Here is a 17304-nt window from a genome sequence, read left to right as displayed (position 1 = left end):
TTCATTCATTCCTTCATTAAACATCAGCATTCCATACACATGTCAACCACTGTACAAACACAGAAGTCTTGCAACAACACAAAATAATAAGACTCCACATCATCATCTGACTTTTGGAAAACATTATGAAAACAATCACTTGGGCATTCGTCTCTCTCTCTACCAGACTCAGATCCAGCCTAGCCCTGCTAGAAAGCAAACATCTTTCTAGTTTAATGTCTTCTCTAATTGTGATATGCAGGTTAATACCTAAAACTATGGCTATGTTCCTCAGACATTCTGCTTGCTATTATAAACAAAACATTTATGCCATGCCACGTGGCTTCATTTTGACTTTTTTAAACTTTTAATTTTGAAATACTTTTAGATTTATAGAAGAGTTGCAACAGTAAATTCAGAATTCCCCATACCCTTCACCCAGCTTCCTCTAATGTTAACATTTTACATACCTACAGTATAATTATCAAAACTAAGCTTCAATTATCAAAACACTGATTCACTACTATTAATTAAACTACAGACTTAACATTTCATGAGTTTTGTCACATGTTCCTTTTCAGTTCAGGGATTCCACATTGCATTTAGCCTCATGATTCCTTAGTCTTCTCCAATTTGTATTCATATTCTCTCACCTGGGTTCTATATGGCCTGAAATATTTATAGAAGAGGATTAGGGGTAGAGTCTTTAATTACAGATCAGTTATCGACTCTCATGAAAATCAACTAGGCCTCAAAAGCTGAGTCCTCTGTCTCTTACTTAATTAACCAGCCGCAGCAGACCAAGGATATATCTGAACACAGCCCTAGAGCTGCTATTGTTTTCTGCTCTGTATTTTGAAAGTTGACTGACTGACCTATATGGTCCTAACAAAAACCATTATCACTGTCATCACTAAATTATATAAATTATCAGTGCCCAAACATCATTAGCAAAGGCACAATGTTTTAGGAATAAGAGGGTCTTGCATAGAGTAAATAAGCTAACTCTGATGATTGTTGTCTAATGGGAACCAAATACAAAATGGAGAATTCTGTTTGTTGGAATGAAATAATGAAATAAATCAAATACTAACATGTATATAAATCACCTGGGGAAACTGCTAAAGTGCAGATTCTGACTCAGTACATTTAGGGATGGGCCTCAGATTCTGCATTTGTAACAAGCTCTGATGTGATGCTCATGCTGCTGGTCTCCAGACCACTTTTTGACTAGCCAGAAAACAGAATAAAACAGAGGCGGTGAAAAATATACATAAGATTTAAACAGTTTGTCAATGTTTACTGTTGCAAAAGATTACACTTGCTAAATACTTTTAGGTTTTTTATTTAAATAGGAGATTAAATAAGAAAATCGTTAGGTTAAACTAAGTCCTTTTTTTTAAAACAGGAAAAAAGCACACAAAACATTGAAAACCAATCTTCAAGCTAAGGAAAAGTAAATGATTTCTAGGAATCAACACCACTGAGGCAATTTTTAATCTCCAGCAGTGTGTTATAATGTCTAATTTATAATTTAAAAAATCCTCCTACAGAGCAGCAGATGGCTTTAGGGTTAAATTTATCCTTGTTTCTAAAATTACCAGCAGAATTCAGCTACCCAGCCTCGATGAAGAGTTACACATCCTTTGTAATTATAATAGGAGTGAAGAAGACAATTATGAGGAAATGAAAGCTGACAAATGAGAGGTGGAGAGTGATAGAGATGAAGCTGACCCATTGCACAAACTGAATGTGGATCGGCCAACACTGACGTCAATGCATACTTTGTTGCCCACCAGCACGAAAAGGTCAGTTGCACAGTTCATTTCCAAACATCAGTCACTCTCCCATCTGACAGGAGGGAAGGGAACAATCATCACAGTTGAGATGAAATGTGATCCTGCTGACCAATGTAAGACATCTATTTGTCCAGTCAGAGAGTTCAATGAGCTAAGAAGCAAATAAATAATCTTCCTTAGCTTAAATGAAGGGGAAGAGAAATGAAGAGGGAAAAAAAAATCAAATCAAACCAAACCCTTTGAGCCATCTTCCATATTCCCAGCTTACTGTGGAATGCTAAGTAGGACTTAAGGATACAAAGTTTCATTGTGCTTTTTGATGTAAAGCTCTTTTTACTTTTTACGTAATGCTAGTGGCAGAAGGATAACAAATGGAAGACTTACAATAAATATTTTCCCAATAAAAATAAAATACTTAAAAATTTTTAAAAAATATTTTTCCTATCTTTGCCTCTCCTACCCTTTTTCAGTTCTAGGGGACAAATCTGAAATCATATATACAGAAACCTTGACTCAAGGTCATCTAGTAAGTAGGAAGGTTGCTAGAAGCAATGATGGGCCACTGCCTCAAATCAGAAAGGAAGCATTCCTCTTGGGCTAAAGACAAGTGACTCGTGATGTACAGGTCAGATTAATCAGGCTAATTATACAATACTAATTACATTTAAGGTCTCTCTCAGCAAAAAATTAAGTTGCATCAACCAGAGACAATTGAGAATATGTGAAAAACTTTCCTTGGTCCTAAAAGGTTTGTATTAATAAGGCTTTAAAGCCTTAGTTAATTAAAAAAACATGCCGAGAGGGTTATATGGCTATTAAAATTTTAAGGCTTTGTTTTCACAGGGAATCAATTATACATTGAATACAAATAATAGCTACCTTGTATTGAGTGTTTACATGGTGCCAGGAGCTTTATCTAACAATTTATTTAACAAACAGTTAACTAGCACTGTGTGCCGGGCACTGTTCTAAGTACCCTACAAATATCAACTCAAGTAATAATCACTATGAGATATGAACTTTTATCACTCTCCCTTTACAGATAAGGAAACTGAGAAGAGAGAAGTCAGGAAACGTGGTCAAGGTCACAAAGCTAGTAAGTGGCAGAGATAGGATTCAAACTCAGGTATCCTGACTACACAGCCCATACTCTGACCTATTACCCTACATCGACTCCCTGTCTCCAATATTATCACCAATCCCTATAATCTGTTCCTGAAAAACAGATTTGTATTTAATAGATATGGAAACTCAGGCCTAGAAAGTGTAAATAATCGGCCCAAGGTTATAGCTACTAAGTGGCACAGACAGAATTTGCACCAGCACTGCTACTCAACTCAGTACTCTACATGAAGCCCTGTTTGACGTGTGATTAATTCATAGATTTTTATCCTTATTTAAGTATTTATTATAAACATTTTAGATTGGGAAAGTTGGAGAATAAAACTAAATATTCCTCATCTATTTTATTCTCAACTTAATGCCTGAACAGCCAGGGCCAAAACAGGTGGAAATAGTACTGCAATTACTAAAACTACTGAAAGCCAGTATTTGCATTCAGCCTCCTACTGTGAATGTCCTCACACTCACTTTTTACAAAGGTTGCAGGTCTCATGGTTGAGGCAATGAGTACACACTGGTGTGGGTGAATCCATGGCTCATTAGTGTCTCAAGTTTTTTTTTTTTTTTTGAGACGGAGTCTCCTCTGTCACCAGGCTGGAGGGCAGTGGCACAATCTCGGCTCACTGCAACCTCTGACTCCCTGGTTCAAGCGATTCTCTCCTGCCTCAGCCTCCTGAGTAGCTGGGATTACAGGCATGCACCACCATGCCCAGCTAATTTTTGTATTTTTAGTAGAGACGGGGTTTCACCATGTTGGCCAGGATGGTCTCGAAATCCTGCCCTCGTGATCCGCCCACCTTGGCCCCTCAAAGTGCTGGGATTACAGGCGTGAGCCACTGCGCCCGGCCTGTCTCAAGTTTTTACCCACGGGGAAAACAAAACCTGGAAACTGATCTCAAAGCCATGTTTCTGTTATTTATTAAAATGAACCATGTTTGATACTTCTATTCCATTTTGTTTTATAAACACAAAAATATTTTAATTTTGTGCTTCTCTTCAATTTCAATATACAAGATGGCTAAAGCAGTTCATTTATTCAGCTTATTTTGCAATTAAAGAGATTTTCATAAGCCAAAAAAAAAACCCAGAAAAAAGTATAATTTGAGGGAATAACTTTGTAAGGGTTCTTGTAATTTCTTCCCACAGAGCCCTATTTTTCCCATGTGTTAGATTCCATTAAGATTTAAGAGTTCTCAGAGATAAGAAGATGATCCTTAAAGAAAATCAGGGCCATCAAGAAGTTATAAAATTTACAGATAAAAATAAATATCCTAGAGAAATTCTTTAAAGACATTGGAATCCATCTAAACACTTTATAGCACGTGAATGATCTGGCCCATGCCCGCCTCTCCTGGCTTTTTTCCTATCATTCTCACTGGCTAATACCTGCAGTTTCCTTACCACTCCAATTCGCTCTGGCCTCTCAGCCTTTGCATGTGTGGATCCATCTGCTTGAGGCAGATACCCCAGCCTCGATCTCTATCTCTCTCTCTCCCTCTCTCCTTTTTGTGTTTTTTTTTTTTTTTTTTTTTTTTTTTTTTTTTTTTTTGAGACTGAGTCTCGCTCTGTTGCCTAGGCTGGAGTGCAGTGGCAGGATCTCAGCTCACTGCAACCTCCACCTCCTGGGTTCAAGCAATTCTCCTGCCTCAGCCTCCGGAGTAGCTGGGACTACAGGCGCATGCTGCCATTCCTGGCTAATTTTCTGTATTTTAGTAGAGACGAGGTTTCACCATGTTGCCCAGGCTGGTCTCGAACTCCTGAGCTCAGGCAATCTGCCCGTCTTGGCCTCCCAAAGTGCTAGGATTACAGGCATAAGCCACCGAGCCTGGCCTCTCCCTCTTTCTTTCTCTGTCTCCCCGATCCCCAATCCTGCCACAAATACCTTCTTGTTAATCAAGTGTTAGCTAATAATTTCCCTGATTCTTCCAGACAGAGTTAGTCTTTCTCCTAGCCTCATGTCCCTGAAAACAATGATCTTTTTGTGTTATATTAACTTAAAGGTCTGGTTCTTATTTGATTAACTCCTTGAGGTAAGAGCAGAGTTAAGCTTTTTGTCACTGCTGCTGTTTTTGTCTTGAAATGTATGAATATCCAGGACTTAGTCCAAGAGCAGAGTAGAAGCTTAATAAACATTTACTAAAATTTTTGAGGATAGTGGAGATGATAGAGAATTAAGTGTGGGCAAGAAAATTTGAGTGCTTAGATATACTCTGTGCACACATGTGTGTGTGTGTCTGCTTGTAATGAATGGAAGCAGGGACACTAAATGTACAACCATAGAATGATGGACCCCAAAATTCAATTAGTGAGTACCCCTTTAGGAAGAAGTGACACAGAATGCTTGGAAATGACAAAATGGTGTAGTGGGAGAAGGACAGATACTGTGGTCAGAGAGACCTAGGTTTGAATTCCAGGTCTGCTACTTATTATCTGTGTCAGCTCGGCCAATTTTTTAATCTCTTTGCATCTCAGCTTTCTCATCTAGTAACTGGCAATAGCTAAGCGGCTCCCAAGATTGCTGTGAAGATGAAGTAAGTATCTAGCAGAATACCTGAAAACAGTGAGGGCCCAATTAAATGTGAGTCATCACACTGTCTTCACCAGAGAGAACTTCACCAATCTGAATTTTTATCTGACTTCTATATAATTAGAAGGGCTTGAAGATTAGATACTAAAAAGCAAAAATAAAAACCAAAAAGACAAAACAAAAACCTAAGATATCACACAATGACATCAGAAACACTGATTTGACCCACGTATATTTTATGCCAGAATTATAATAGACATACTATAGCCAGGCAAAACTTGGTTATAACGTCAAAGCAATATTCTGTTTTTTGTTTGCAAGTTTCTTTGGTGTCTTACTTTGACATTTTCTTTTGAGATGTTAGTGACAGCACTTTGTAATTCCTACAGCATATGATTTACACACCTATAACCTTTCTCTGCCTAAAAAAACTCCTAGAACACATGTGCATGTATGTTTCTTGTAGCACTATTTACAATAGCAAAGACTTGGAACCAACCCAAATGCCTGTCAATGATAGACTGGATACAGCAAACGTGGCACATATACACAATGGAATACTACGCAGACATAAAAAAAGAATGAGTTCATGTCCTTTGCAGGGACATGGATGAAGCTGGAAACCATCATCCTCAGCAAACTAAAGGAATAGAAAACCAAACACCACATGTTCTCACTCATAAGTGGGAGTTGAACAATGAGAATACATGGACACAGGGAGGGGAACATCACACATGGGGGCCTCTTTGGGGGTGAGGGGAGGCGGGGAGGGAGAGCCTTAGGACAAATACCTAATCCATGCAGGGCTTAAAACCTAGATGACGAGTTGATAGGTGCAACAAACCACCATGGCACATGTATACCTACGTAACAAAGCTGCACATTCAGCACATGTATCCCAGAACTTAAAGTAAAAAAATAATAATAAAAAATAAAAAATAAATAAAATAGTTCTCTTGGAAAAAAAAACAACTCCTAGAACTCCTTTGTGCTATTGTTTTGGTAAATATTTCGTTTTGGTAATAAGGGAATGTAAAGGTGTAGCAGGAGTTTTCCCCCTTCTTTCTACAGAGCTAAGGACTTAAAAAAAAAAAAAAAAAGAAAGACCTTCTCTGAAAAAGACAATTTTAGGGCAGCCGATGCTTTCAAGGAGCATTAAACAAAATATCCCAGTGAAGTTCCTCACAGAAGGTTGGCAAAAAAGAGTGAAATAAATGACACCAAATGGAAGGGCCAAAAGCAGAGGAAGGGAAAAAAACAAATGGAAGTGAACAGACATAAACTATGAAAGTATTCTAATTTTGTGCATCACATTTTCACAACAAAAATGACAAATTGATATAAATCTTTATATATACGTGTATATGTGTGATATATATATATATATACACATACACACACACACAAATGAATATAACAAATTAACTTAAAAACATTTTGTCTTATTCAGGCAATCCCATTAGAAAAAAAAAATCACAGACTATAGAATGGAAAATCCATTACATATCCTGTAACATATGTAATATTGACATTTAAAATGAGTAAAAATAATTTGCCTTCCCCTAATTGCCTAAGACAAAAACTAATGGGAAATGGCACAGAAACAAATCAGTTCAATGTACAAACATGAGGGTTTTACCTTATATTTTACACCATATACAGCAAACCGAGGAAGCTACTTTGTCCCTAAACTTACTAAGTTCAATGAGTATCCAACCTAACAGGTCAATTAATAATTTCTTGGTCAGTCCCTGTCATCTGGATGTCTCCCTGCTCTTCTTTAACAATCTTAGAACAAAACACCACCATGTGTAACTTTGCTAAGCTTTTAACCCACACTCTTTCTCTTCAAAACCCAAGTCAAACAAAATCTCCCTTACATACCTTCAACCTCTACTGCTGCTGCTCTAGTTCAGACTCATGTTTTCTTAAATGGACTATTGCACTAGATTCCTTATTAGTCTTCCTGTCTTCCACCTCACCCACATCTCCCACCTATCTTAACTCTGCTGCCAGAGACATATTTCTGACATGCAAATCTAATCATGTTATCCCAATTCCACTTTACCCCTACCCATGCCCTATAATTTTCAGTAGGCTAGACTCCCCATTACCTACAGAATAAACTATAAAATCTTTGACATGGCATTCAAGATGTTTCATATTCTGGTCTTTACTTATCTGCTCCCCCTGTATCAATCCTGCATGCCTACAGATTTTACATGTAACCAGTTTTGAATTTACAGTTCCCCAACATTCCAATCTCTGTCTACCTGCCTGCAACATTCTGCTTCTGTTTATCTTCCTGACAAGCTTCTCTAACTTCTCTCTCAAGTCTAAGTTCAAATAATTCCTTCTTTGTGAAGCTTCCCTGACTCTTCAGGTAGACTGCTTGTTCCCTCACCTATACTCCCATGCAGTTTGTATATACTTTTAAAATTGCAACTATCATACTGTATTTTTTCAGTTTTATTAAAATGTAATTGACAAAAATTGTGTATATTCAAGGTGTACATGCTATTTTTATATATGGATATGTTGTGAAATGATTTCCACATATCATATTGTACTTAACATAGCACAGTACCTGATACATATTTATTGAGTGAATGAGAGTTTTGACTATGTAAATAAAGAGACTGAGAATATAAAATAAAACATTTTACAACTGTGAAAAGGCAAGGAGAAAAACAGGCAAACTAATCTCTACCCAACTTAATTTTCATGTTATAAATCAAAACCCTATCGTATCAGATCAAGGAAAGGTGCTTTTCTGTCTCAACTATTTCTCATTCTACCTCCATCACTTCTTTTGCCTTTTCTCTGCTTCTGGCTGTAGCCATCAGTCATAATTAGGAGAGCAGGCCAGAGTACCAGCAACCAGCATTACTCCTCCAGCCCTGTCTTTTCTCCAGTCACTCTGACACTCAGATAAATGTACCTCTTCCAGCAGAGCACCCCGAAACCCTGCCAATGGAATCTGGACACATCAGACCCCAGATGTAGCTCTGACCTGTGTATATTAATAATGAACTCATTCCCTTACTTTTAATTACACACAGAACTAAGGAAATGAATAAAATGGACTTTGAGATAGCCTGATGTCATCAGGTAGAAATGCTGCTGAATCTGCGCCTGCAGGTCTGTTTCCACACACTGAGTGCAGTGGCTCACTTCGGATCTTATTAGAGCCAGTTGTGTCCCAGTTACCTGCTATTTTGATATTCATGTTGTTATCCAGCAGGAGATTTTCAGCTTTGAGGTCACGGTGCACAATCTTCCGACCATGACAATAATCAACAGCAGACAGGATTTGCCAGAATTTTCGCCTGGCTTCAGACTCATTTAACCGGCCATGATTAGCAAGATAGTCTGTAAATGAAGAGAGGATTAAGAATTAGTCACCAAAATAAAATAACTCCACTATTAGTAGTCAGGAAATTTTTTTCCTCAAAAAGTTTTTTTTCTGGCCAGGAGCAGTGGCTCATGCCTGTAGTCCCAGCACTTTGGGAGGCTGAGGTGGGCAGATCACGAGGTCAGGAGATCGAGACCATCCTGGCTAACACGGTGAAACCCCGTCTCTACTAAAAATACAAAAAATTAGCCAGGCATGGTGGCGGGTGCCTGTAGTCCTAGCTACTGGAGAGGCTGAGGCAGGAGAATGGTGTGAACCCAGGAGGTGGAGCTTGCAGTGAGCCGAGATCGCACCACTGCCCTCCAGCCTGGACGAGAGTGAGACTCTATCTCAAAAAAAAAAGTTTTTTTTTTTAAAAAAAACAATAATTAGTGATAAAGTAATATGGTGTTTTCCAAGTTTCTTGACTTTGAAGAAGTATTTCTTTTTCTTTTTTTTTTTTTGAGATGGAGTCTTGCTCTGTTGCCCAGGCTGGAGTGTAGTGGCGTGATCTCAGCTCACTGTAACCTCCACCTCCCAGGTTCAAATGATTCTTCTGCCTCAGCCTCCCGAGTAGCTGGGATTGCAGGTACCTGCCACCATGCCCAGCTAATTTTTGTATTTTTAGTATAGATGGGGTTTCATCACGTTGGCCAGGCTGGTCTCGAACTCCTGACCTCGTGATCCTCCTGCCTCAGCCTCCCAAAGTACTGGGATTACAGGTGTGAGCCACCGTGCCCAGCCTGAAGAAATATTTCTAATCATATTTCACTGGAGTCCAAATAAATGGTGACAGCCCAAGACCAGTCAGCAGCAAGCAGCATAATATTCACAGTACAACTCAACATGATTTTTTTAATGTCTAGGTACTCTCTCTATTTGTTGAAAAGCTTATTATTTCACACTTTAAAAAAATAAAATTTATGTAAAACAGAGGAAATAAATGAATTCTCTGACATCTTGTCACACAGAAAGACATCTTTTCTGAAACACTGTTTTCATGCAATTATTATACAAACCACCTGTAACATGAGATATGGTGATAACTGGAAGTAGCTTAAATAATTCACACCCTGTGCTGTTCGAAAGAATTCTCGTCTACCCAAGAACATGCAGACTTGTGCTCTAAACCAAACATTGTCATGACAACCATATTCTCTCAACTGTAAGACAAATATATTTTGCAAGATATACTATCTTTATGCAATGTTATAATCTTTAATAAAGAAGCTTACCTAAAAATTAATTCTATGTGACTATGTACATCAATTCAATAAAACTAAACATTACCACTCATTAACATTTCACCCAAAGACCTGAAAGTCCTCTGAAATTATCTTTTGATCAACACAAATCTTGAAAGACTTTTAAATTTAACATAATTGTCCTAACTAGGGAACTGTATGAGTGACTCAATATTCCCAGTCACCTGCACACATTTTCTGCTCTAGTGTTTACTAGCTTACTGGTTTTTAAATTCCCTGCCTTTGGCTCATGTCCTTCTCAATATTTACTATGTATTTTTTTCTTTAGTTTTTCGAGACAGAGTCTTGTCTGTCGCCTAGGCTGGAGTGCAGTGGTGTAATCTTGGCTCACTGCAACCTCTGCTCCCCAGGTTCAAGCAATTCTCATGCCTCAGCCTCCCGAATAACTGGGACTACAGGTGCACACCACCACGCCTGGCTAAATTTTGTATTTGTAGTAGAGACGAGGTTTCACCATGTTGCCCGGGCTGGTGTCAAACTCCTGACCTCAGGTGATCTGCCCGCCTTGGCCTCCCAAAGTGCTGGGATTACAGGTGTGAGCCACCATGCCTGGCCTACTTACTATAAAATTTACTAACATTTATACAATACTTTATACTTTACAAAGCATGTTCATATCACAGTGTCTCATTTCATCTTCCTAAAACCTTCTATGATAACTATTACTCAATTCCCATTTTATAGATGAGAAAGCTGACAATCAGAGGGATTAAGTAATCTGGCTGAATTTGTACAACTGGTGACTGAACAGTCAATCTGGGGCTGTAATATTTGACATAATTTTTTTATTATATTAAGCATCTTTACTAGACTCCTGTTGAAATCCTAACCATCCTTTTATTTTATTTGTTTATTTATTTTTTAGTCAGGGCCTCACTCTTTTGTTGCCCAGGGTGCAGTACAGTGTGCAATTATAGCTCACCTCAACCTCAACCTCCTGGATTCAATCAATCCTTCCACCTCAGCCTCCTGAGCAGCTGGGACTACAGATGCATGTCACCACATCTGGCTAATTATTAATATTTTATTTTTTGTAGAGATGAGGTCTCACTCTGTTGTTCAGGCTGGGCTCAAACTCCTGGACTCAAGCAATCCTCCTGCCTTGGCCTCCCAAAGTGCTGGGATTACAGGTGTGAGCCATCACACCAGACCCTAACCATCCTTTCGAAACTCTAATTAAATGCCACCTTGACCTTAAGTCCCTCTTCACTTCAAACAGAAATAACCTGTTCTCTCAACACCTTGTCACTTATCATACACTGCCTCACACTGTATGTAATAATCTGCATGTGTATCACAAATATCCCAAGGTACACACACATGTGTATACACATAGCCCTTACTTTAAAAGAGGGGTCCTCAACCCCTGGGTCACGGACCAGCACTGGTCCATGGCCTGTTAGGAACCCGGCCCCCTGCCATAGGAATGTGAACCCTATTGTGAACTGCACATGTGAGGGATCTAAGTTGAATGCTCCTTTTGAGAATCTAACTAATGCCTGATGATCTGAGGTGGAACAGTTTCATCCCCAAATCATCCTCCCCAACCTGGGAAAAATTGTCCTCCACTTATTTGGTCACTGGTGCCATTTAAAAGGTTGGGGACTGCGGCTCTAACACATAGTGTTTTGAAGTATTAAAGACAACTTCATTTAAGCTTCCTGAAGACAGGAACCATATTATTCTCTTTTGTACTCTGCAATGCTTAGCACTAAGCATAAGCACAAAGCATCCCATGTATAATTCTTAGTACTTAGCTATTAGCCATATTCTAAATATTACAGGCTTTAAATGTAAGTGGGCATTTTATTCTTTTTTATGGGTTGGCATCAGAAACTGAGATGGTCAGCTCATTACATCTTCCTCTTGCCTTTGCAGAACCTGCATAGTAGCTATCCATAATTCTAAGGGAGAACAGATCACTTAAGAACAAGTATGCATAATTTTTAGTCAAAATGTCCAAACTGCCAACAGAGACAGATTATGTTTAAGAACTGGCAAGTAGACAATGTGCCTTCTCTGCATAAGAGCGAACCAGAGGCTCACTTCTACACTGGATGAGCTGGGAAGTCCACTATAAATACGGACCTTTGGGCAAATATAACCTACTGAGGGGAATGCCAATATGCTTTCTATAAGAGAATATCTTTTGAGTAGTTAATAATATCTCTCCTAAGATTCCACACAAAATGCTATTTAAGCTGTACCGCTAAATGAGACCATTTTTTCATGGACAAATGACTGACTTGTCCAAATAGACAACTTTTTTTTTTCCCTGAAGAAAGTGCTGAGTCAATGGAGGTTAGTGGGAAAGATTTTTGAGATTTTTGGCAACACAGAGAAATCTAACAGATTTAATGTGAATGAGTGGAAGTTTACATATATAGAAAGAGACCCCAAACTACTGACTACAAAATGAGTCCTAGGAAGCACAATGGAATCTATAGTTATTGTTTTTTGAAGCTATCAGTCCAAATTGGGAGTACCACAGGCAAGGGGAAAGAAAAAGTTTGAAACGTGGCAGCAGGAAGGCACTGTCTGAAAAACAAAGGCATTGTATATCTGAATCTAAAGTTACCATGTAAAGACAGAATCATCACCTATCAGTAAATGTAATCTCACACACAGTGTGAGAAAAATGGTCTAAATTCCAGAGACAAACTATTTAGAGAAGTGGCACTTTCACTCTTCAGGTGAAAATCTCGGCAGGCATTCCAGTGTATCTATTATCTTCCCCATGCTTTATGATTTCTGCAGTGTAGGCATCCTTGAAAACTGTAACATCTGCTGAGAAATCAGTAATAGAAGTAAGTGAGCCAGAAACATGTGGCTGCAAATAAAATTTGTTTAGGCATACATCAACCCCTTCAAGGAACACAATCCAAGCTCAAGTTAACGCACATGGTCTTGAAGTTAACATACAAAAAGCACATTTATGTTTCACATTAAAAACCTTATTGATGGGCTGGTGTGGCAGCTCACACTTGTAATCCCAGCACTTTGGGAGGCTGAGGCGGGCGGATCACCTGAGGTCAGGAGTTCGAAACCAGCCTGGCCAACCTGGCGAAACCCCATCTCAACTAACTATACAAAAATTAGTCAGGCATGGTGGCGGCCACCTGTTATCCCAGCTACTCAGGAGGCTGAGGCAGGAGAATCGCTTGAACCTGGGAGGTGGAGGTTGCAGTGAGCCGAGATCACGCCACTGCATGCCAGCCTGGGAGACGGAGCAAGACTCTGTCTCAAAAATAAATAAATAAATAAATTAAATAAATAATAAAAATAAAAAATAAAAACCTTATTTACAGAACAAACTTATGAATGTAATAGCAACTGTCTATACTAACTGCTTATGTGTGTATTCTTGAGAGCTTGTTTGGAGATTCTGGCAGAGGAGTGCAGCTACTCATATACCCTCGACCAAAGACTGGTCCTCCTCTATTGGGGATGGTTGTCCTCTTCGAACGAGCATGCAGTTTTGGGAGGGACACACATGGAGGGGTGAGGGAGGAAGGGGACAGCCATCTAGCCAGCCAGATCAGCCAAATCAACCCTGGCGATCAGTGGGGTGACAGATGTCACAGCCAGATAGCTCTCATATCTGCTTATGTATTTTTGATGAATAAATACAGTTTTTAGAAAATTCTTGTTTCCTATGTTTATTTTGGTTCTAATTGTTAAGTGAAATATAATTTTATGTTTGTTAACTTTAATAATGAAAACTTTTAAGGTTATATTTTGTATGTCAACACCCCCTCCAGTTTTGCTTTTCTGGTCATTATTTTTTACTGCCATTTTACAAAAATCATGGTCTGCAACAGACTGGCTAATTTAAACTCAATATTGACAGTTTGATAGTCTGAGAAATACTAGCACAGGCAAGGTAAACAGGCAATTACAATACACTGTGATGAAGGTTAGCATAGGTAGAAATGTCCTAATAAATACATTGTTTCACAGGTATCTTTAAAAATTTTCTATTATGAAAGTTTTGTACATACATAAAATCATATTAAATAGTATAATGAATCACCTAAATTCGAGTTATCAACATTTTGTCATACTTGTTTCATTTATCCTTTTTTTCCTCATGTAACATAAAGCAATTTTTGACATCAATTTGTTTCACTCTAAATACTTTTCTATGTATCTCTTAAAAAATGACATTTTCTTACATAAGTGCAATATCATTATCAAACCTAACATAATTAACAATTCCTTATTATCATCTAATACCCAATCTGAATTCAAATCTCCATAGTTGGCTTGTTTGAATCAGGATACAAACCAAGATGAACATTTTATATTTGTTTATTTTGTTTCTGGAGCCCTTTTACGCTGGAACAGTACCCTTACTCTCACCCTCCCCCTTTTTCCTATGCCACTGTCATGAAGAAACTGGGTCGGTCATCCTATATTCTGGATTTGTCCTTTGCTTCCTCACATTACTGTTTAACTTATTCTTCCATCTCCTATAGTTTCTATAAAGGACTGAATAGATTCAGGCTTAATATCTTTTGGGAGTGGCAATAATACATCACAGGTGCCTCTACTAGGAGGAATATAACATCTGATTCTTCTTTTAGGAGTGCTAAGATTGGTCAGTAAGTACTGGGAGTGACAGCCTGATCCTTCAATTAAAGATTCTTAGCAATCTTTCTCCTAATATCATGGTTCTCAAACTCCAGTGATTGTCAGAACCCTCAGAGGGCTTGTTAACACACGGCTTACTGGGACTTACCCTTAGAGTTTCTGACATAGTTGGTTTTGGAAAGAGCCTGAGTTTTCATATTTCTTAAAGAAGTATCCAAGTGATATTTAAGATGCTGGAACAGGGGCCTGACTTTGAGAACCACAGCACTAACAGTTTTAGTATTCATTAGTGGCTGTTACATGAATCAATGATTTCATTAGGGGTTGCAAAATTGTGATTTTTTAATTGATTCCTGCCACATTTATTAGGTGAAATTCTTCTGTAGAGAAGTATTTTTTCTTGTCAACTAGAGTTATTATTCTGAAAAAAACTTCAATAGGTTGGAAGAATGAATGCTTAATTCTTCCTCTTTAAGTACCAATTTTCAAAGTAAGGAGTTGGCATGCTAGCCACTTCCAATGATGACCATTAAGATTGTGTGTTTATTTCCCAGCTTTCTTTTTTCTTTCTTTCATGATTCAAGCACCATAATAAATGACTACAAAGGAGTCTGAGACCAGCATAGGCAACATATTGAAATATCATTTCTAAAAAAAATAAACTATCACCTTCATGTGGCTAACCTTTGATCTGCTTTATTCTTAGCTGAATGATGTTGGTTCTTTTTCATAATCTTCTCATTTAGTGCCTGTCTCAGGGTGCCTTTCATTACCCCAGTCAAGAGATACCTTAACAGTCTGGCCTTGGGCCTTCTGCTCACAGACCCTACTGAAAGTCTAATAAAAATGATACATAGATACACATGCACATATACAATTTAGTATATAATTTCAAGGAGGTCTATAAAATCTTAGGTTTAATACCAGGTTAAGAAACTCTGCCCTGGGAGATTTCATTCATTCCTTAGAATTTTTGTAAGAATAATCTCCAAATTTGCCAATGATATTTGACATTTCAACAGCTACCTAATTATATACTTATACAGATTTTCTTTCTGCCACTGCAATGTTATCAAGACAGAGCTCATCTTTCTTTTTATAAACTTCATTACCACCTTCTAAGTCACTATAACTATCATCTTACAGTCAGTCAACCTCAAAAATTCAAGAGTCATCTTCTATCAACCCTGAAGGCTGATGCCCCAACAAGCAGATTTCAAATTATACAGATTAAAGTTATGTATATAGTATAATTAATCAATGCTTTCAGTCTGCACTTATAGATAAGTACATTTCATAGCATAGTGCCTGATACATAATAAATGCTCAATAAATGTTAGTTGCTATCATCATCGTCGTCACTGCTTAGTGGTATCCCTTCTCTTCCCCCAGGGATAAGAGGCAGCCTTCCCAGCATCTTATCAAAGAAGTGGAGGAAACCCAGACAGCTGAGTTCCCTCATGTCTCAGGGGTGTGAGAATCTTTGCATGACTATCTTTAAGCCTCATGTTCTTCAGTCAGAAATTACTAGCATTCCTCAAAGATGGAGCTGAATAACAGCACAAAAGATTAATAATTTATGGAATTAAATATTTAATATTATGTTAAAAGGATTTAATTTGTAATTTCATCGGTTTGTAATTTTGGAGTAAAGTAAAAAGGTTGATGCCAATTTAATATTTTATGCTTAAAGAATCTTTTTTAAAAAAAAACTCAATTAAATCCTGGCAAGAGGTCCTAACCCACAAATCTGCAGACTTCACAATTCTAGTTATAAATTTGAAGAGAAACAGTGTTTTCAGGAATATGACCACCATGAATGATGAAGCTCCAATAAGGTAATCAAAACTGGCTAATTTGCTCTCTTTAAAATATTTTGAAGAGCTATTATTTTCAATCCTCACATCTAAATCTATACTCATCTTTTCCTCTAACAGTTTTTTCTTCTGATCAGTACAAAAATGTTACTATGAAACGCCCCCCACTGCTTTTTTTTTTTGAGATGGAGTCTCGCCCTGTCACCCAGGCTGGAGTGCAATGGTGTGATCTCGGCTCACTGCAACCTCCGCCTCCCGGGTTCAAATGATTCTCCTACCTCAGCCTCCCAAGTAGCTGGGATTACAGGTGCCTGCTACCATGCCCAGCTAATTTTTTATTTTTAGTAGAGATGGGGTTTCACCATGTTGGCCAGGCTGGTCTTGAACTCCTGACCTTGTGATCCGCCCACCTCGGCCTCCCAAAGTGCTGGGATTATAGGCGTGAGCCACCGTGCCCAGCCAAAAAAAACCCTTTTTATTGTAGATCAAGACTTCAATCTTGACAGCTCAGCTTGTGCTGGTTCTTGCCAATCAATCTTGGAATATTACTGAGAAAGGAAGTCCCATTAGATGAAATAATTTGAACTGTTTTTAGCACACTGATATATGTACCACCCGACATGTGAACACTAGCAGAAAATGGATTAGGTGTCTGATTCTGTATTAATTAGGATAACGTGGGTTACCCTAATTTTAAATATTAGGTTATAATACTATTTATAATATTAAACTTTTAACCTTGAGATATATTTATGAATATAAAACTACAGATTGTAAAACACTTTGCTTTTCTCTGTTTGTTTTTGTA

At 38.1% G+C, this 17304-nt stretch overlaps 2 protein-coding genes and 1 pseudogene across 10 annotated transcripts in view, besides 1 other annotated feature; 1 reads left to right on the top strand and 2 right to left on the bottom strand.

Annotated features, from left to right (window-relative positions):
* PPP2R1B (protein phosphatase 2 scaffold subunit Abeta) overlaps positions 1 to 8800 on the top strand; it is a 78390-nt gene extending 69590 nt beyond the window's left edge. For 3 of the 8 annotated variants that reach the window (XM_024448600.2, XM_047427193.1, XM_047427191.1), the window contains one exon: positions 1641 to 8800. The gene's annotated coding sequence lies outside the window, so the exon portion shown is untranslated. Of the gene's footprint in view, positions 1 to 1583 lie in introns of all 8 variants that reach the window. The other 5 variants (XM_047427194.1, XM_047427190.1, XM_047427195.1 and 2 more) reach the window with 3 other exon arrangements.
* SIK2 (salt inducible kinase 2) overlaps positions 1 to 17304 on the bottom strand; it is a 128407-nt gene that overhangs the window by 34056 nt on the left and 77047 nt on the right. For both annotated transcript variants that reach the window (NM_015191.3, XM_017017417.2), the window contains exon 4: positions 8638 to 8799. In NM_015191.3, the coding sequence (NP_056006.1) occupies positions 8638 to 8799 (162 nt within the window). The remainder of the gene's footprint in view (positions 1 to 8637; positions 8800 to 17304) is intronic.
* Positions 3665 to 4178: an enhancer, noted in NCBI's record as "H3K4me1 hESC enhancer chr11:111563346-111563859 (GRCh37/hg19 assembly coordinates)". NCBI's record gives its function as "activates a minimal SCP1, AML or CMV promoter by ChIP-STARR-seq in primed H9 embryonic stem cells {active_cell/tissue: H9 hESC(primed)}" and the evidence as "EXISTENCE:reporter gene assay evidence [ECO:0000049][PMID:30033119]".
* RN7SKP273 (RN7SK pseudogene 273) lies at positions 13376 to 13689 on the bottom strand (annotated as a pseudogene).

The sequence above is a fragment of the Homo sapiens genome, chromosome 11 (genome assembly GCF_000001405.40).
Source record: "Homo sapiens chromosome 11, GRCh38.p14 Primary Assembly".
Lineage (NCBI taxonomy): Eukaryota > Metazoa > Chordata > Mammalia > Primates > Hominidae > Homo > Homo sapiens.
This window is presented reverse-complemented; position numbering and strand designations above follow the sequence as displayed.